Source organism: Homo sapiens, chromosome 1, assembly GCF_000001405.40.
Source record: "Homo sapiens chromosome 1, GRCh38.p14 Primary Assembly".
Taxonomy (NCBI): domain Eukaryota; kingdom Metazoa; phylum Chordata; class Mammalia; order Primates; family Hominidae; genus Homo; species Homo sapiens.
Window position 1 is genome coordinate 40,984,356 of NC_000001.11, and position 21,351 is coordinate 41,005,706.

The 21,351-nt window shown below is 43.6% G+C and overlaps 1 protein-coding gene across 11 annotated transcripts in view, besides 1 other annotated feature; it reads left to right on the forward strand.

The window, feature by feature from the left end:
* CTPS1 (CTP synthase 1) overlaps positions 1-21,351 on the forward strand; it is a 32,870-nt gene that overhangs the window by 4,660 nt on the left and 6,859 nt on the right. For 8 of the 11 annotated variants that reach the window (NR_125440.2, NM_001905.4, XM_047447471.1 and 5 more), the window contains exons 3-12: positions 466-636; positions 3,017-3,117; positions 4,239-4,355; positions 6,810-6,893; positions 7,410-7,490; positions 11,562-11,713; positions 13,039-13,171; positions 16,674-16,762; positions 17,805-17,899; positions 18,759-18,821. Coding sequence is in view for 10 of the 11 variants with exons in the window: in NM_001905.4 (NP_001896.2) it covers positions 466-636; positions 3,017-3,117; positions 4,239-4,355; positions 6,810-6,893; positions 7,410-7,490; positions 11,562-11,713; positions 13,039-13,171; positions 16,674-16,762; positions 17,805-17,899; positions 18,759-18,821 (1,086 nt within the window). In the remaining variant the exon portion in view is untranslated. The other 3 variants (XM_047447472.1, XM_024453561.2, NM_001301237.2) reach the window with 3 other exon arrangements.
* Positions 19,636-19,785: an enhancer, noted in NCBI's record as "active region_859". NCBI's record gives its function as "activates an Ori minimal core promoter by ATAC-STARR-seq in GM12878 lymphoblastoid cells {active_cell/tissue: GM12878}" and the evidence as "EXISTENCE:reporter gene assay evidence [ECO:0000049][PMID:35858748]".

The following is a 21,351-nucleotide window of genomic DNA, read 5'->3' on the forward strand; positions in this document are numbered from 1 at the left end:
TAGAACAAAAGCAGAGCTCGGAAGCTGATTTTTATAATCAGCACAAGCTTAATATGCATATATCCAGGTTTTGAATCAAATATTGTTATCATACTTTAAACCATATTATGCTCAATTAGGAGACGTTTCTGAAGGTTCTTTTTCCCTAAGCAGCAGATGCTGTATACTACTGTAAAGTCCTGTATGCACAGCCCACTGGGCTGTCATTTCTTCCCATCCCATGCTATTTTATAACTCTTCTTAAGAATGAGTTTGTTGACAGGCTAGAAGTATGAGGTTACCTTTTAGAGAATAGCTGGTAATTTTTCTTTTTGTGTGTCATATTTAGTCTTCTAGAAGTGAATTTCTGTGCTTCCTATTACGTAATTGCACACCTTGTTAATGAGTGTTTTATTTCAGGATTGCAGTTGTGCCATGGTATAGGTATTTTTCACTTAACGTAAATGGTTTCTCTGTTCACTGCAGGTGAGGTTTTTGTGCTGGATGATGGTGGGGAAGTAGACCTTGACCTGGGTAACTATGAGCGGTTCCTTGACATCCGCCTCACCAAGGACAATAATCTGACCACTGGAAAGATATACCAGTATGTCATTAACAAGGAACGGAAAGGAGATTACTTGGGGAAAACTGTCCAAGGTAATACTGGATTTACCTTTAAAGCTTAAAAGTCTTAACCAGTTTAATTTCTTCTCCCTCCCACCTCTACACAGATGTGTAATTCCCTTTTGAGTACAGAAGTTTACATTGTATGTGATTTCAGCATGAAACTCTCAAGGTATTGTTACTGAAATATGCCTTCAGTTGAAAAATCAGAATTATATTGTTGTTTGCTAAAAAAAATAATTTGAAGAACTACTTCTTCGTTGAAGCTTGTCAATTCTGCTAAGGCAGCATGATACGAGTCCAGAGAGCTGTTGTTTTTACACAGTAATGAGTGTGAAAGTGGTAAAGGCAACTCGATTAGGGCATTAAGCCAGATGGCATGTATGTGTGCATCTGGGACTTACTATGTATAGAAGTGAGAAGGAAATGAACATCTATTGTGTATACTGGTTTCCAGGCCGTTCATCAGTGCCATATGGCCTAGGAGGAGCCTGAGAAGTGGGTTTCTGGGTCCTCCCAAGCTTTCACTGGCACAGCTTCGCTTACATCTATTTGCTGTTTTGGGGTTTTGTACAAACATTCATTTAAGGAAAATGTTTTGCTGCTTTAAAAAGGTGGGGATGGAAAACTACTGATCTAGTATAATGGCAGTGGCCCAAATTTGGAGAGGTTGCTGAAAAGTGGCTTTAATCTGAGTTATGAGAGCAGATCTGCTTTTGGCTTTAGACTTTACTGGCCTGAAAGCTGAGGGTCACACTGACAGCTGGCTCTGGTCTGGGGCTGCCCTGGCAAGATTCTGGGCTAATTGGGTCATGTTTGGATCTTAGCTTCCCCTCTCACCAGCTTTGTGAACATGGGCAAATTAACCTCTTCAAAATGTGGATTCCTTTTCTGTAAAATGGAGACAATAACAACACCTACCTCTCTAGGTTGTTAGGAAGATTAAAGAAACTAAAAGTCAGTGAAGTGTTTCCCTGACTTCCTGACACATAGAAAGGAATCAGTTAGGAATTAGAATGGTTTTGATCTTACAGTTTGCTGTTTATTTATTCATCATCCATCAAATTTGCATTGAATGCTCACTGCAGTCAGACCCTCACTGGTGCTGGTGATGCATGTGATGAGCAAGACCAGAGAAGTCATTGCCCACATGGAGGTTACCTGTGGGGGAGGCAAACAACAAACATGAAACAAAACGAGACGTCTGTCAGAAGCTGTGAAGAAACCAAGTGGAGTGAGGACAGAGTGACTGGGGAAAGCCACTTTGGGCAGGTGGTCGGGGAGTCTCCCAAGAGAGGCCATTTGAGCTGAGAGGCCAGTCACAGCGAGAGTGGAATGAGAAGTGCGGAGGCGCAGGGCTACGAAGGCGTGGTTGGTCCGGGAATGGAGGGGAGGCCGGCATAGCTAAGGCAGAGTGACTGAGGGAGATGGTCAGAGAGCGGGGGTGGTAGCCACAGCCAGGTTCTACCCAGTCGCTGGGCCGCAGCAAGAAGCTAGGAGTGTACTCGGAGGAGTGGGAAGCCACCGAAAAGTTGAAGTGTGGGAGTGATGAATTCTGACTTGAATTTTAAAAGATCACTTTGACGCCATGTGTGGAGTAGATAATGAATATTCTTCTGCGTGAGGCAAATGAATATCCTTGTGCATGAGGCATTGCTGTAACTGGAGTAACCTGGAGTTAAACAGTAATCTTCACCTTTTAGGAACTTGCCATCTGTGCCCAACAACTATGATTTTTGAAGTGTTGAGCAATTGCTGGCATTCTTTGAGCATTGACATGGCAGGCACTTTACCGAGCATTTTACAGGTGCTGTCTCACAAAATTTCCACAGCTTAACAGGTGGGGAAAACAAGCTTAAAATGGTTCTATAATTGGCCCAAAGATCCACAGCTAACGAGTCATGAGACTAAGGTTTGAATCCAGACATTCTGACCCCGGGTGCTGTGCTTCTAACCACTCTGCTGTGCTGTGCTGGCTCACTGCAGTGGATTGTCTACCCTTTGGTAAACTGGAAACATATGGAACAGGGTCCCAGAAGTCTCTTGTTCCTGGAAGTGCACTGAAGTGTAATGTGCCTACCTTCAGCTGTGAGCAATAGGGTTGGCTATACTGGTGTGTGGCCAAAAGGGTAGACTCTGCACAGGGGCACGTGCGCCTGTGTGGCTCAGGACACTGCTGTCAGCCTTGCTCTGTTGCAGGGCTTCCAGCAACAACTTAGACATCTGGCTGCAGGAAGTGTGAGCTCAGAGATTTGTTGAGGCCAGTTAAAGGGGGCCTCAAAAGTATTTTTATGACCCTATTGCTACTCTCTCCAGGCAAAGAGTGCTGCAGTTTGTTTTCACAGTAAGTGCATTTGTCTCAATCAATGTAGATGGACAAGCGTAAGTTCCCTGTTTGTTTTCTTTTTCCCAGTTGTCCCTCATATCACAGATGCAATCCAGGAGTGGGTGATGAGACAGGCGTTAATACCTGTAGATGAAGATGGCCTGGAACCTCAAGTGTGTGTTATTGAGGTTTGTATGATTCCTGCACATGTGAACAAGTGTACTCATCTCCTTAGTCAGCCATCAATAACTGATAAGACAGTTCCCAGTGGAGCCCTTGGCCTTCCTATCTCTGGTGCAGTATGTTGCAATGTGGCAGGTAAGGGCACAGTTAACAGTCATGTGGAATGGCCACGCAAGGGAAAACCGTAGTTTGCCCAGTGTTCCTTTTTTGTAGCATTTATGGTACAATCACTTAGTACTGATTGTCCCCATGAGTAGTGTGACACATTTTCATCTGTCTCTTGAGCAAGTCAGCAGATCTTTTGCTTTCGTCTGGCAAGAGCATTCGTCTCCGAATGAGCTTCATTTGGTTTCAGTATCTGTACTCCTGCTGTGCTGATCCTAGCTGTTGGATCTCAGTGTTCCTCAGATAACAGGAGACTCAAAAGTTCCAGCAGTTTGTTTATAACTAATACTTTTTTTTTGAGACAGGGTCTCACTCTGTCACCCAGGCTGGAGTCCAGTGCAGCAGTCATGGCTCACTGCAACCTTGACCTCCTGGGCTCAAGCAGTTCTCCTACCTTAGCCTCCCAAGTAGCTGGGACTACAGTGCGCACCACCATGCCCGGCTAGTTTTTGTACTTTTTTGGGAGAGGCAGGGTTTCGTCATTTTGCCCAGGATGGTCTCTAACTCCTGAACTCAAGCCATCTGCCTGCCTTGGCCTCCCAAAGTGTTAGGATTACAGATGTGAGCCACCGTGCCCAGCCAACTGATGCTTTTTCAGTACAAAAATTATTTATGGTTAACTAAGGAGATAAGATTTAGGTTTTTCTTTTTTTTTTTTTTTTACTTTGTCACTGTGATAGAGATAACATTCCTGGCACCTCTCTCATCTGACCTTTTTCTTGAAATGATGTGGAAAGTTCCATAATAACCTTTGGGAAGGATGAGCCTGTCCAAAAGAATAACCTTTTAGTACAAAGAGTTGTCTAATTCCTGTTAACTGTTAACTAACATTATACAGGGTTAGAGAGTCCGTGTTACATAATTACTGATACTGAATCAGGAAGACAGAACAGTTGTTAGAAAACTAAACTGCCAGAGAAGGGTTTAGTGCCTAACCTCTGAAACAACTTTGTTCTTCTAGCTTGGTGGAACCGTGGGGGACATAGAAAGCATGCCCTTTATTGAGGCCTTCCGTCAGTTCCAATTCAAGGTCAAAAGAGAGAACTTTTGTAACATCCACGTCAGTCTAGTTCCCCAGGTAAGTAAGACATTGAAAGTTTTACTTTGGGGGAGATGGAGAGGAGGGAGGAAAGGTAAACCGGAATGATTTTCACTCATTGTCTAGTAGTTTTCACTTGAGGTGCAGGAAGCAGAGAATAAAGAACTTTGTAAGTTTAAATTTGTTACAATCATACTTTTTTGAAAAGATCAAATAGAAAACATTTGAAAAATCAGGGCAGTTGCATTTGCAGATGTAGATTGGCCGTGTGCATTTGTCTTTACTATATGGTGGAACTAGAGTAAAGAGGCTGTTTTTAAAGACAAATCTTGTGGAGAGGAGTCAATAGTAACAAAAATTGGGAAGCCGGAAAGCAGATGGATGCATAGAACCGACTAAGCTGACCTTGAGTGCCGGATCTTAAGCCCGCAGCAGTGAAAGCAGAGAAGCAGCCCTGTTTGCCCTGCAGAACCCCAAAAGCTCAGGAGTGGGATGAGGGTGGGCCTCATGTAACTACTGCTTCAGAAGACTCAGACCCTGACATCTTTTTCCTACAGTGCACAGTTGGGCGTTAGCCTCCTCCCACCTTGGCAGAAGACTGGAGGCTTGTTCTCTGGGGAGGGTTCCTGGATGAGCAGACAGTAGGGACAGTTGAGGGCAGTAACACTGGACTACAAACATGGGGTTATGTGTAATGTTAACGCTGTTGACAGTCCTTGCCTTCTTCCACCATTTGGTTCCCAGAATCATCATGTTTAGGCTTGGCCATTCCACGTAGGAGGTTGTAAGATTGTCTTCTGGGGTATGGATAGCCCAGGATAAAAGACACTGGCTCTGGCGGCTCCCCATGAAATAAGCCAGCCAGATTTTCACCATGACAAGCCTACACACTCACACATAACTTATAGGTAGCATTTAAGCAGGCCTCCATACACTTGGAGAAAGCATCTGATAGGTAAGAGACCAAACAACAGAAAGAAAGAAACTTACAGGGAACTGAGGCGCTACAAGCAGAGGAAACTTTAAAAAAACACCAAAAAACCAAAAATGACCTGTCATTACTATTCTTAGAAAATTAGAAGGAGATAAGCTATATCCGTTAGGTAAGAACTGGATGCTATAAGAAAGAAACATTGAGAGAACAGAAAAGAATCCTTGGAAATTAAAAATTAGATAGCAGAAATGAAAAAGTTAAGAGAAAGTAAGTTGAGGAAATACCCAAGGAAGTACAGCAAAAAGACCAAGAGATAGAAAATAGGAGAGAAAAGGTAAAATTAGAGGACTGGCTCAGAAGTTCTAATGTCCAAATAATAGGAGTTCCAAAAAATAAGAACACAGAAATGGAGGTATAATCTGAACCCCAGGGGTCAGCAAATGATGGCCTATGGGCCACATGAACCTACCCCCCCGTATTTGGAAATCAAGTTTATGGAAATACAGCTGTGTCTGCTTGTTTATGTGCTGTCTGTGGCTGCTTTTGCTCTAGAACAGTAGAGTTGAATACTTGTGGCAGAGACTGTGTGGCCCACAAAACCTAAAATACTTACTATCAGGGCCTTTACAGAAAAAATTTTCTGACCCCTTATCTGAACAATTCAAGGAAATTTCTAGACATCAGTTTCTGGGTTGAAAGGGCCCCCTTGGTGCCTATCATATTGGATGACAGATGACCTACACCAAGGCATATTATTGTGAAGGTTCAGACTAATGGGGCAGAAGTTCTAAAAGGCTCTGAAGAGAAAAATCAAGAATCATTGTGCCACTGGACCCCTTAGCAACAATACTGGAAGCTAAAAGACATTGATGCTATTTCATTAAAAATTCTAGTGGAGGCTGAGCATGGTGGCTCACACCTGTTATCTCAGCAGTTTGGGAGGCAGAGGTGGGAGGACTGCTTGAGCCTATGAGTTTGAGACCAGCCTGGGCAATGTGACAAGAGCCTGTCTCGATTTAAAAAAAAAGAAAAAGTCCAACAGAAAATGATTTCCATCCTACAAGTCCATGTGTAACGTGTATCTGTTAAGTGTGAGAGAAGAATAAAGATGATTTAGTACAGAAAGGAAAAGTGTGGCACATGGTTTGGGAACAGTATTTAAATACTTAAAAAGTATGTAAACCCAAAAGAGGACTGCAGGCACAGGAAAGTGTCTAATGGGGGCAGGATCCTCATTTAACAGGGAAATCAATAGAAAATGCCTCCAAGTAAATGTGGAGAAGTAGCACACCAGCAAGATCAGTTAAGAGTTGAAGAGCGGTTGTTTCTAGGGATTGGAAAGGGGAGAGTGGGTGAGGGCCGATACTGCTTACAAGCTCGGTTAGAACCATTTGATTCTAAAATGCATGCATGTGTAACTTTGACAAACATAAAAGCTAAATTACACAAGTGACCAAATGATCTATTTCCTTATTAAAAGAGGTTCAAGGAAAAGTCATACTTGAAAATTCCTTATCAGAGGGAAACTAACTTTTTTTTTTTTTTCTTTTGTGAAATAGCCAAGTTCAACAGGGGAACAGAAGACTAAACCTACCCAGAATAGTGTTCGGGAACTTAGAGGACTTGGGCTTTCCCCAGATCTGGTAAGATTTCCTGATAGCTGGTTGCAGTGTAATCTTTTATGTCTAGTTAAGATCACTCTATCATGACAGACAAGACCTTTGTCTTGTTGGGTTGCTTTTGATAATTGATGATGGAGAAAATAGGATTAGTTCTTTGAACCGGGCTGTAGTTTGCAAGATGTTCATACTTAGAGCGTGTTAGGTCTTGTACTCCCCAGACCTTATTTTTCCTCTCAGTCTTTTTACTCTCATTTTTACTCCTACTTGGGAACACTAATGGAGGAAAATCCCAGAGCTCTTGTAGTTCATTAATGTATTCATTTGTACTGCCATTCTCTTATGTTTCTCCAGTTTGGCGTTTACGGATTTTAGCTTTGAAACGAGTCATAATATTTTTATGGATTATGTGCCTGGTGCTGAGAGTTAACGTTTTCGTTCATCTTAACAATGTGATGTCTGTTTTAATTTCAGTCAGGAGAAACCCCTACTTCTGTCATTTTTTCCTTCTGTCTAAGCCATCTTGTTCTCTACTGCTAGGTTGTATGCAGGTGCTCAAATCCACTTGACACATCAGTGAAGGAGAAAATATCAATGTTCTGCCATGTTGAGCCTGAACAAGTGAGTAGAAATTCCCATCTCTAATAAGTTGTTTTTTGCTTCTAATTGTCCTAAAGCCTCTTGATCAGTTTCGTGAGGCTTGTTATTTTCTAATTAGAGATAGTGGGCTGTTCCAGAAGAACCCATTGCCATCGGCCATTCCCTGCCTCTCCTGGTTCCCCAAACAACACCTGTGTCCCTCCTGCCTCTTCTCCGTGCCTCGTTGTACTTTGTGCTTCAGCCGGGTGGAGTATCTTTCGGTTCCCCTAGTACCCTCCACTCTCCCTATGATTGTACTTTTTCACTGGCTAATTTCTGTTAAGAACCCATGTCCCCCTCTTCCTGTTGGCTTGGCAGTCTCCTACTCACTCTCATCCTTCAGGTTCTAGCGAAGACATAGTGTTGTCTGAGAAGCTTTAACTGCCAAACCTCCTGGCCCTTGGCCTTCAGGGTTAACTGCGTCCTTCACTGGGCTCCTGTGTGGTGTCGCATGTATGCTGCTGATGGGCCCATCTTTCTGGTGTGTGTGTGTGTGTACATGTGTGGTGTGTATCTCCCTTCACAGACTCTAAGCTTCTGGAGGGCAAGGGCCACCTCATTCAACTTTCTGTTTCTGGTGCCTGGTGTCTAGGGTGTTGTAGGCTGTCACAGAGATCTTAGTGTTTTTGTTACTGTACCTATGATGCAGGAAATCCAAAATTTGGAACCTGTAATGTATCTAAGTGTGGTGCTTAGTATGGAAATTCTAGTGGTGATACATTGAGCATGTAGCTTTGGCCAGGTTTTAGATATTTCTGGCCTAGCAAGTGAAGGAAATTCAATTCTGTAGCAGAATAGGTTGTCATTAAAATTGTTCAATTTTTTTTTTTTTTTTTTTTTTAATTGAGACAGAGTCTCGCTGTGTCGCCCAGGCTGGAGTGCAGTGGCGCGATCTTTTTGGCTCACTGTGACCTCCACCTCCCAGGTTCAAGCGATTCTCCTACCTCAGCTTCCCGAGTAGCTTGGATTACAGGTGTGCACCACCACTCCTGGCTAATTTTTGTATTTTTAGTAGAGATGGGGTTTCATTATGTTGGCCAGGCTGGTCTCAAAGTCCTGACCTCAGGTGATCCACCTGCCTCAGCCTCCCAAAGTGCTGGGATTACAGGTGTGAGGGCGCCCGGCCTTAAAAATATTCACTATTAAAAATGTAACAAGTATTTCCACATTTAAGTTTAAGTTTCAGATTTTTTGCTTTTTTTTTGAGATGGAGTTTTCACTTTTTCATCCAGGCTGGAGTGAAGTGGAGCAATCTCAGCTCAGTGGAACCTCCACCTGCTGGGTTCAAGTGATTCTCCTGCCTCAGCCTCCCGAATAGCTGGGATTATAGGCACCTGCCACGATGCCGAGCTAATTTTTGTATTTTTAGTAGAAATGGTGTTTTGCCATGCGGGCCAAGTTGGTCTGGAACTCCTGACCTCAGGTGAGCCACCCGTCTTGGCCTCCCAAAGTGCTAGGATTACAGGTGTGAGCTACCACGCCTGGCCTTGCCTTTTTTTTTTAAGAGACAAGGTCTTGCTGTGTCACCCTGACTAGAGTGCAGTGGTGCTGTCACAGCTCACTGCAGCCTGGGCTTAAACAGCCCTCCTGCCTCAGCCTCCTGAGTAGCTAGTACCTTAGGCGGACGCTACCATGTTCAGCTGTTTTATTTTTTGTAGAGATGAGGTCTTGCTATGGTTGCCCAGGCTGGTCTTGAACTCTTTGGGCTCAGGCAGTCTTCTTGCTTCAGTCTTCCAAAATGTTGAGATTACAGGCGTGAGCCGGCAATGCCCAGCCTTACTTACTCTTTTAATTGGAATGTTTATCTTACTGAGTTGACTTGATATAGTCTGAATACAAGTCTTTCATCAGGTATGTGATTTTCACATATTTTCTCCCTATCTGTGCCTTGTCTTTTCATTTTCTTCTCTCTTTTTTTTTTTTTTTTTTTTTTGAGATGGAGTCTTGATCTGTTGCTCAGACTGTAGTGCAGTGGCATGATCTTGGCTCACTGCCATCTCTGTCTCCCGTGTTCAAGCGATTCTCCTGCCTCAGCCTCCTGAGTAGCTGGGGCTACAGGCATGCACCACCACACCTGGCTAATTTTTGTATTTTTAGTAGAGACGGGGTTTTGCCAAGTTGGCCAGGCTGGTTGCGAACTCCTGACCTCAGGTGATCTGCCTGCCTCGGCCTCCCAAAGTGCTGGGATTACAGGTGTGAGCCACCGCACCTGGCCTTCATTTTCTTAATAGTGTCTTTTAGAGCACAGACACTTTTAAATTTCGATGAAGTCCAATCTGTTTTTTTCTTTTATGGATTGTGCTTTCACTGTCGTGTCTAAGAACTCCTTGCTCTTAACCAAGGTCATGAAGATTTTCTTGTAAAAGTTAGTTTTAGGTCTTACATGATCCATTCTAGGTTAACTTTTGTGTGTAGTGTGAGGTAAGGGTTGAAATTTTTACATGTGGATATCTACTTGCCTCAGCCCCATTTGTTGAAAAGACTATCCTTGGATACTATTCTGTACTTTTTAAAAATAAAGGTACATTATAGATTTACTAATCTTCATAAAGTTGTTTAGACTTATTTATAGCTATTCATAATTTTTATTACTACCGTGTATTTTTAAAAATTATATTTTCTGATTAGATAATACCCCATGTGTAGGAGACCCTGCTGACCTCTGTCCATTCATCTACAGCCTAGCAACCTTACTAAAATTCTATTAGTACTGATTGTTTACCTGTAAATTCTTTTGGTTTTTATGGATAAGCAGTGATATTGTATGCATTATTCAGTGGCAACCGCTTCTTGTTTTCTGGTTCATTTTTTTTTCTTATCTAATGATAATGGCTAATATCTTCAGTACATCATTGAATAGAAGTACTGAAAGTGGCCATTCTGGCCTTGTTCTGGACTTTAAATAGTAAACATTAATATTAAACCATGTGATGTTTACTGTGGGTTTTTTATATTGCCAAATTTTCCCTAATCTTAATTTACCAATAATTTTTATTATGAATTTGGTTTTGAATTTTTATCAAGTCTACATCTACTGAGGGAATTGTTTTCCTCCTTAATCTGTTTTCTATTTATGTGGTGAATTCCACTGTTAAATTTCCTAACACAGTAGTTCTCAAACTTGACTGCACACTGGAATCACTTGGGGAGCTTTAAAAATACTGATGCCTGCCTCCTACCCCACAAGATCCTAATTCAAGTGGTCTGGGGTGCAGCATGGGCTTTTGACCTTTTATAAGCTCTGAATGATTCCAATATGCAGCTGAGTTTGAGAACCACTGTTCCTAGTTAAGCCATTCATAGGTTCGTGGACATGATTTTTTTAAAGCTACATTTGTGATTTGGATCATGAATTATTATTATTATTATTTTTAAGACAGGTTCTGGCTCTGTTGCCCAGGCTGGAGTACAGTGATGCGATCTTGGCTCACTGCAACCTCCAACTCCCAGGCTCAAGTGATCCTCCCACCTCAGCCTCCCGAGTAGCTGGGACCATGGGCACATGCCACCACACCCAGCTAATTTTTTGGGTGTTTTTTTTTTTTTTTGAGACAGAGTCTCACTCTGTCACCCAGACTGGAGTGCAGTGGCACAATCTCAGCTCACTACAGCTTCAAGCTCCCAGGCTCAAGTGATTCTCCCACCTCAGCTACCCCCCAGTTAGCTGAGACTACATGCACATGCCCACCATGCCTGGCTAAATTTTGTATTTTTTTGTAGAGACAGTGTTTTACCATATTGCCCAGTCTGGTCTTGAACTCCTGAGCTCGAGCAATCCTCCTGCCATGGCCTCCCAAAGTACTAGGATTATAAGCATAAGCCACCTTGCCCAGCCATGAATTTTTTTTAAAGGACTTTTGCATCCATGTTCATAATAGATTGGCCACTAATTTTCTATTCTATTCTTGAGTCTGTTTTAGTAGTTTATCTAGAAAATTGTCCTTTTTTCTGTTTTCAAATACATAATATTTTTACAAGGTCACGTAGCTAGTAGGAGGCTGTAAGCCTGGTGAGTTTTTGCTTTTATTTAATAACTTGCTTTTTTCTAAACAGGTGATCTGTGTCCACGATGTCTCATCCATCTACCGAGTCCCCTTGTTGTTAGAGGAGCAAGGGGTTGTAGATTATTTTCTTCGAAGACTTGACCTTCCTATTGAGAGGCAGCCAAGAAAAATGCTGATGAAATGGAAAGAGATGGCTGACAGGTTTGCCTGCAATGAGGAGCTGGGAGTGCTAGCCTCCTTTACTCTTTTGTAGGGCTGGTGAAGCCGACTCTAGCCCTAGCACTTTTGTACTTTTGCACTTCTGCCATCCACTCATTAGAAGAGCCTTTGTAGTAAGAGATGTTCAGAAAGGATCTTAGCTGTCACGTAGCTGTGGCACAGATGAGGAGATCCTGATAGGGCCAGGCCAGGTGCCGGGCCTCCAGACAATGAGTTCGGGTTATGTCTTAACACGCTTGTCTCTTACCAACTAGATCAGTGCAGATGGGCGTCCTGGTGGCAGCGGGTGAGTGTGCATATCCAAAGCCCACACGAATGGCTGACAGTGGCTGGAGCACTCCTGGGTACCACTCCAGAGTTCTGAGCTGTGTTTGGGAATGTGTCTCACCCCACACCAGAAAGGGATCACATTAGGACGGGGATGTGTTGCTGCCTACTCCACTACATCCTTTTAAGGCTCGGTGATGCTGTCACATTCCTTCAGAAATCTTCACTTCGTGTCTTAGAGCAATGGGCAGGCCTTATCTTAGTTGCAAGATCAATATGATGGCCTAGAAGCATTTGGAGAGGGCATACTCATTCCGTTGCTCTGTGAGAATCATTTTTCATTTCAACATTTTCCTTTCAGTCTTTGTCTGCTTACATATAGCTATCAGAATGGCAGTTTTATCATCCTTTTTCATAAAACATTATAAGCATTTTGCTCTGTTATTATATTTTACAATGAAAACTTTTAATGAGTGTGGACTTTTCTATTTTGTGAATGTCCCATAATTTGTTTGACACTTGCCTTCACCCCATTAATTCTTGTGAATTGTCTATGTCTGTTATTTTTTTTGGTCTTTGGTATGAAAAAAATTTTTTGTAGGCAAATTTGTGTGAGACGTTGAAACTCTTTGTAAGTTTCAAAACAAAAACAAAAAAAAAATTTTTCTTTACAAAGCCTGCCATGTTGATCTGAAAATTACTTCCTCTTTACTGGTCTGTACACAGAACTCAGATAATAGCTATTCCCGTTATATTCTTCCCAGGTGTGTTTTTGTTGTTTTTTGTGGGGGTTTTTTGAGGCAGGGTCTCACACTGTTGCCCAGGCTGTAGTGCAGTGGTGCAGTCAGCTCACTGTAACCTCCAACTCCTGGGCTCAAGATCCCCCCGCCTCAGCCTTTCAAAGTGCTGGGATTATAGGATTATGGGCGTGAGCTCATCCTGGCCAGACGTGGTTTTTTTTCCCTTGAAATAGCTATTTTGGTCTCATGATAGCGTGTACCTTCTGAGTAATTGGGTTTTTCTTGACGTTTATTTGATAGATATGATCGCTTGCTGGAGACCTGCTCTATTGCCCTTGTGGGCAAATACACGAAGTTCTCAGACTCCTATGCCTCTGTCATTAAGGCTCTGGAGCATTCTGCACTGGCCATCAACCACAAATTGGAAATCAAGGTAAGGAGGGTGGCACAGGTACAGCCAAAGGATGAGCAGGGAAGCAGTCTGTAGTCTCGTAGGTGCTGTGTCATATCTGCTTTCTGTTTGGAGCTCAGAATTACTTTTTAAGGAATTACTTTTTAAGGATTAAAAAGATTTGTGGTTGCTTCGTGGCTTTGAGAAGACAGTAGAGCATTTTCAGGAATTAATGAAGGGGAGAGATGGCTAGAGGAGAGGGTGAGAGAGACTTGAGTTCTTGGCTATGACTATCAGGTAACCAAATAAAATGCCCTGTGGAAATGGGGACCACTGATGGACCACAGGCATGCTGCACAGTTGATAGCTGGAGGCTCTTGGAGACTTTGTTGGCATGTGGGCTGCCTTTCCTAACCTGTGCTTATCACTTATTGCAGAGTGGGAATGACAGTATTGACCTCACGGAGCTGTGAGGTTTCTCTGGGATGCAGGGCAGGCACTCAGTAAATGGTAGTTACTGTGTTCTGGTCTGTGCCATGGCGGGCAGCAGCTGAGCTGGTGGAATGGTGGGGCATGGCCCTGCTTGTCTGTGGGTGGCAGTAGAGTGTCATGGTTAAGAGCATGGATGCCGTGGCTAGGCGCGTTGGCTCATGCCTGTAATCCCAGCACTTTGGGAGGCCGAGGTGGGCAGATCACGAGGTCAGGAGATTGAGACCGTTCTGGCTAACACGGTGAAACCCTGTCTCTACTTACAATACAAAACATTAGCCAGGCATGGTGGCATGTGCCTGTAGTCCTAGCTACTTGGGAGGCTGAGGCAGGAGAATTGCTTGAACCTGGGAGGTGGAGGTTGCAGTGAGCCGAGATTGCACCTCTGCACTCCAGCCTGGGCAACAGAGTGAGACTCTGTCTAAAAAAAAAAAAAAAAAAAAAAAAAACATGGATGCCTGAGCCCGGTGACCAGGGCTCAGATTCTAGCTCTGTCATCTACAAGCGGTGAGACCTAGACAACTTACTTAACCCTCTTTGTGCCTCAGTTTCCACATTGTTAAAAAGGGATGGTGATGGTGCCTTCCTCCTAGGGTTGTTGTAAGAAGTTCATGAATACAAAGTGCTGAGAATTATGCCTGGCATATGGTAAGCACTATGTCAGCTGTCGTTAAACCCTCCCTTCTGCCTGTCCCCTTTATTCCTTTTCTTCCTGGCCCATCAGCTGAAGCTTTTCAGGAAGAGATGAAGGTCAGAGGTAAAGTTGGGGCTCAGTGCTGAGGTTGTTAAACAGGCCCCATGTAGCTGTCCCCACATTGGGGTTTGCTTTCTACTTCCCAGGTGTTTCTCAGCGTGAGAGTTTAGTTTGCTTTGTGCTGCTGGACAGGTTCCTGCAGAATGGCCTGTTGTACGAGTTTTAAGAATTTAAATCCCATTACACAGCCCTGACTTCTTATTTGCTAGTTCTTTCCATCATTCATTTATTTTATCCACTTGGAGTTAGTCTGTGGCTGCCATGTGTTTGTCAGGTGGCAGAGGATGAGAGATGGATGAAAAGGCAACGGTCTCCGCCTTTAAGGAATATTGAGTCTCTTAGGAAGGAAGGAGCACATAGGAGAGGCTGAACCTGCTGTGGCAGACACATGAGGAAGGCAGACTTCCTCATGGAGGGACACCAGGTTGGGTTGGGTAGGATGGAGAAGGCTCGGAAGGGGCATTCCTGTTAGAATAGATAGAGCACGTCCAAGGGCTTGGAGATGTGGAGCAGTTGGAAACACTGTGGATGGAAATTGTGAATTGGAGGCTGTCTGGAGACAGGCTGGTGAGGGCCTGCCCACAATTCCATGAACTGGGCCAAATCTGGGTCTTACCCTGAGGTTCAGGAAACTAACTGCAGGGTTTAGGTAGGAGATTGTAGAAAAGTGGTGAACACCCTAATTTAAAAAGTGGGCACGAGATTTGAACAGACACTTCCAAAAAAAGATGTAGGTGATAAACACGAAAAGGTGCTCAACACCTCTAGTTAGGGAAATCAGTGCAGATGAAGTCACAATGAGATAGTGACACAAACCCCCTAGAGCGGCTGAGTGTTAGAGAGGCTGTGGAGCTCTTACCTTGCTGCCGGGAGTGTAAAATGGCACCACCACACTAGAAAACAGTCTGGTAGTTTCTTATCAAGGTAGAGACGTGTGATCCAATAAGTCCATTCCCAGATACTCACTTGAGAGACTTGAAAACGTCCACAAAAAAAGATTTTTATTCAAATGGACAAATTATTCGTAATAGCTGAAATCTCGAAACAACCCAAATATTTATAGCCTGTCAATGGATCAATTTGTAATGGTTTATTTATATAGTAGAAACCACTCAGCAATGAAAAGGAAGAAACCAGGCTGAACACTGACTGGCTCAAGCCCATAATCCCAACACTTAGGGAGGCTCTGCTGTGGGAGGATCGCCTAAGACCAGTAGTTCGAGAGCAGCCTGGTCAACATAGCGAGACCCCCGTCTCTGCAAAAAAAAGTTAAAAAAGAAAAGGAACAAACAACTGATAAACACAGCAACATGGATGAACTTCAAAAACACTAAGCAAAAGAAGCCAGACACAAAAGGTTATATACTATTTGGCTCCATTTATATGATGTTCTATAAGAGGCAAAACGAATCTGTGATGATAGAAATTGGATCTGAGGTTGTTTGGGGTAGGAGGTAGAGGGGCACATTCTGGGAAGATGGTAACTTATGTTTTGTTTTGTTTTGTTTTGTTTTGTTTTGTTTTGTTTTGTTTGAGATGGAGTCTCGCTCTGTCACCCAGGCTGGAGTGCAGTGGCATGATCCCAGTTCACTGCAACCTCTGCCTTCCAGGTTCAAGCAGTTCTCCTGCCTCAGCCTCTTGGGTAGCTGGGACTACAGGTGCATGCCACCACACCCAGCTATTTTTTTTTTTTTTTTGTATTTTTAGTAGAGATGGGGTTTCACCATGTTTGCCAGGCTAGTCTCGAACTCCTGACCTCAAGTGATCCACCCGCCTCGGCCTTCCAAAGTGCTGGGATTATAGGTGTGAGCCACCACGCCCGGCTCATTCTATATCTTGGTGTGTATGTTTGACAAAACTCTTCAAAGTATGCACTTAAAATGCTTGTATTTTATTGTATGTGAATTATGCTTCAATATGGTAGAAAGAAAAAGAAAAAACCCACAAAAGCTGGGCGGAAGATGGGCTGAGGAGGCTGTCATTGAACAGAAAGCCCTCTAGAGTCTGCTGCAGAGGCTTAGCTGAGACCCGATCCTGAACACAGTAGAGTGCAGAAAGAGAGAGATTTGGGAATTTAATGATTTTGAAGGAAACTGTTGTATTTTAAAACCTCATATTTAAAAAATGTTTAAGTTATTAAATATATTAAGTTGATCACTTTAAAGCCAGTATTAAGATGATCACTTTAAAGCCAGAATCAAGAAAGACAACTTTGATAAAATGATAATATTATTTAAAAATTAAGAACGCACAGCCTGGGGTCACGAGCCTGCTTTTCTCCCCTGTCTGAATAACATCCAGTACATAGATTCTGCGGACTTGGAGCCCATCACCTCGCAAGAAGAGCCCGTGCGCTACCACGAAGCTTGGCAGAAGCTCTGTAGTGCTCAGTGAGTAGAGTTCGCTGCCTTGGGTTTCCAGAGTTCTTTTGGTTTGTTTTAATGAAAAAGTCCTCTTGTTTTCATGTGCCAGTAGTAGGTAATTGACTTGTTAAAATATTTTTTAATTGTTGAAAAGACTACATGCCATCTGATTTAATCCTTAAAAAATGCAGCTTGTCAATATCATTGGATCTGAAAAGCTGCTCTGATTTTGATATTGTTTGCCATATGCATCTATTGATGAGGCTCATTTAAGGATTTTTCATCCAGAACATTTGATGAGTACCCATCAGTAGAGTCTCATCAGTTGTTTTGGCAGCTGTTATTTATAATAGTAAAACATTAGCAAGAATTTCTGGTTCACTAGAACAGTTGAATATTACGGAGGTGTACACCTTCTTCTGAGTGTCTTGGTCAGTACGGCACACAGAGCTGATGAAGAAAGGCCCCCTTAGGGGAGCATTTTAAGCCAAGAGGTAAGATAAATTGTTAATATTAATATATGTATTTAAAATTTTGGGCTGGGCACAGTGGCTCATGCCTGTAATCCTAAAACTTTGAGAGGCTGAGGTGGGAGGATTGCTTGAGCCCAAGAGTTCAAGACCAGCCCAGGCAACATAGGGAGACCCTGTTTCTACAACAAAAACAACAAAACCAGCTGGGTGTGGTCCCAGCTCCTTGGGAGATCAAGGCTGCAGTGAGCTGTGATCACACCACTGCACTCCAGCCTGGGTAACAGTGTGAGACCCTGTCTCAAGAAAAAAAAATTGTGAACAACTCAGTACCAAAGATAGTGCAGTGGCAGTATTACAATTATGTATACTATCTTTTTCACTTGCAATAAGCATGTTCTTAAGTTACTAAGAAAAGTCCATAGTTTCATATGCAGTTTCTAAGTTGATAGTGTTTACATACAATTCATTGTCACAGTAGCACAATGTATGGGGTTAATTCATGGCTTCAGTGTCTTGGTAATGGCCCGTTAGGCGATTATTGCAAGTTGGACTGGTAGAAAAGGGGAATTGCCTTTGTGGTTTGTTCTTTTGTGCAGTGGAGTGCTGGTTCCAGGAGGATTTGGTGTTCGAGGAACAGAAGGAAAAATCCAAGCAATTGCCTGGGCTCGGAATCAGAAAAAGCCTTTTTTGGGTAAGGAGCTCTGCAGTGCAGTCTTCACTTAAGAGTAGGAAAGAGTGGGGAACGGTGCCACGTGGGAGCCTATGAACAAAGTGGGGGGATTACTGAAACATGCTGTCTTTGTGGATAGGAGCTCAAGTAGAAGCCTTCATGTTTTCTCTTTAGAGACAAATTCAGTCTTGGAAAGCTTATTTATGCTTATGAGCTACATGTAGATGTCGTGGAATTTTGAGAGAATGAATTGTGAATTCCTGTCCATTTAATGAACCCAGCTGTTTGTAGCACACGTGAGGTTGAGTTTTATATCTGCTCACTTGGCACAACAGCTGACTGTAATTGGACAAAATGATTTTGCATGCCTCCTGGTGCTGTACATTTTAGTAATTTTCAACTTGAACAATTATAAATAAAAACTTAATGAGAGAGGGTAAGAAAACTTGAATTTTAAAGTACTGAGGCTAGGCACGGTGGTTCACACCTGTAAACCCAACACTTGTGGAGGCTGAGGCAGGAGGGTTGCTGGATCCCAGAAATTTGAGGCTGTAGTGAGCCAAGATCTCTCCACTGCACTCCAGAGTGGGCAACAGCAAGACCCTGTCTGGGGGGAAAAAAGTACTGAATAGAATATCACTTACTTCTAAAATCGGATAACTTTGCAAATCTAGAATTTTCATCTACTTTACATGCAGTTTTTGAAATCTAATACAAGTAAAGTGTAACAGCAGAGAGTACTTGTTCATAGCAGGAAGTTATGAGTTTGCAATTATAATTCTCCAAATAAAGGACACAAAGGCCATTGCAGAGGCTGCTGGGAAAAGTAGGAGCTGCCTTTTCAATGGAGTTTTGTTTGTTTTTTCCCCCCGACTGGAAGGCGTGTGCTTAGGGATGCAGTTGGCAGTGGTTGAATTCTCAAGAAACGTGCTGGGATGGCAAGGTAAGCGTGCATTAAGACACTCATTCAATTCCCGCTTGTGTATTTCTGGAGGATATGAGGCCTGTTGCCGCCTGGGTGATCAGGAGCTTTGGAGAAGGGCAGGCCTGGGTTCCTAGCACCTCATGGTGTGCCGTAAGGGAGCTGCCTTGCCTCTTGAGGAACAGCACGGCTCCTCCATGCAGGAAGGAGGGAGCACAGCCAGACTCCCTCCTTTGCCTTCTGCCTCTGTGTTCCTGTTCTTGAGATTCTGTCACTTTGATCACCGTGGCCACCATCCTGAAGCTGGTGCCTGGTGTGAAGTCCTTGTCCTAAGTGAGGCTTGGGCAGTTATTATGAGAACCTGGGCTCTGGAGCTATTGAAACTGGGCTCAGATTCCAACCTTACCGCTTATGGGTGATTTTAAGCAATTTACTTAGCCTTTATGGGCCTCCGTTTTTTCTGTAAAATGGGAGTAATAAAGGTACGTACTTCACATGATTAAGGGAGATAATGTATGTAAATAGTCTCTAGTAGTGCCTGGAAAATAGGGAAATGCTCAGATAATATCAGCTCTTCGCCTAGCTGTGTATTACTATGTGACAGACCTCCCTAAAGCTCAGTGGCTCCCAACAGCAGTGACTTCTCATCTCAGTATTCTGTGGTTTGGCTCAGTGCCTGGGTTTCAGCTGCACGTGGTGTACTATCTGAGATGGCACACTCCTGCCTTGTGTTCAGCTGTGAGCTCGGCCCAGCCGGGACGTCAAGATGCTGTCTCCACCTAGTGGCTCATCATTCATTAATCCAGCCCAAGCTTCCTCACACAGGGTGGGCAGCTGGACTCCAAAATGACAGGCCTGTTATGCAGGCACTTATCAGGCCTGCTGATGTCCCGTTGGCCAAAACAAGTCACGTGGCCAAGCCCCGAGCCGGCAGGGGAGGAGAACACACATGGGTGTGAAGACTGAGCATGCTGCACTGGGGCCACCCTGGAATGGTCCACCACAGCCCATTTATTCTCTGTAGCCCACCCGACAAATACTAGATTTTCAGAAAGACCTTGTAAATTCTGTGGAAAATAAAGTAACCTGAAGGAATGTAAAAGCAGTTTGACTTTATAAAGAACAAGTGACTCTGGTGGCCAGCATATGGTTTAGGGCTGGGTTTCATTCACCCTTTCCCTGAGAGGCTGCTTCACAGTGACCTGGCGGTGTGGCTTAGTTTGGTAGACAGCATGCCCTTGAGTGCTGGCTTCTGAGTCCTGAGAGGCACTGTCTTATCACCCGCCACCCCAGAGCTGGCTTTCTGGTCTCCCTGGATCCTTCACAGCCCCAGACCTCTGCCTCTCACTTAGGTTCCCAAATGGGTAGGTGCTTTGGTGATGAGCTTACACTTCAGTTGAGACTGGACCCTGGTTCAGGCCAGGAGGAGAACAGTGCCCAGCGTTCACATAGTACCAGGAACTTGGTCCTTTGCCTTTTGGTCTTTAGTGGTTTTGCTTTGGTTAGACGGTAAGTTCAATGAAGGTTAGAAAGGTTGAGTTGAAATCAGTTCATTTCTGACTGAGCTATTGAGTGAAACAGTTGAGTAGGGCTTTGTATTAGCTGCTGAAGATGAAAGAAGTATAGAAGAAATAGTACTTGTTTATCTCAGAGAGACAAGAGTCTGAAACATTAAGACAATATAAAAACTTGGCTGGGCATGGTGGTTCAGGCCTGTAATCCCAGCACTTTGGGAGGCTGAGTTGGGTTAATCACTTGAGGCCAGGAGGTCGAGACCAGCCTGGCCAACATGGAAAAACCCCATCTCTACTAAAAATACAAAAAATAACCAGGTGTGGTGGTGTGCGCCTGTAATCCCAGCTACTTGGGAGGCCAAGACATGAGAATCACTTGAATTCTGGAGGTGTAGGTTGCAGTGAGCCAAGATTGTGCCACTGCACTCCATTCTGGGTGACATAGTGAGACTCTTGTCTTAAAACACAAACAAACAATATAAGAACTGTCACAGGCGGGGCGCAGTGGCTCACGCCTGTAATCCCAGCACTTTGGGAGGCCGAGGCAGGCAGATCACCTGAGGTCAGGAGTTCGAGACCAGCCTGACCAACATGGAGAAACCCCGTCTCTACTAAAAATACAAAGTTAGCTGGGCATGGTGGTGTATACCTGTAATCCCAGCTACTCGGGAGGCTGAGACAGGAGAATCGCTTGAGACCTGGAGGTGGAGGTTTTGGTGCCGAGATCACGCCATTGCACTCCAGCCTGCCCACACTTGTTGCCCACAAGTGTGAAATTCTGTCTCAAAAAAAAAAAACTGTCAAAGATACAGTATCTAATTAAAAATTACTAGGTTATGCCATTAGTTTTGATTTTCCCATTTTGTACTGATTGACTTTCCAGAGAGTTATACTTAACGTAAAAAAATTCACGTGTGTGTGGGTTGAGTATTTTATGTCTTAAAAATGCTATTTATTGCCGGTCTGGTGGCTTGCACCTGTAATCCCAGTACTTTGGGATGCCAAAGCAGGAGGATTGCTTGAGCCCAGGTGTTTGA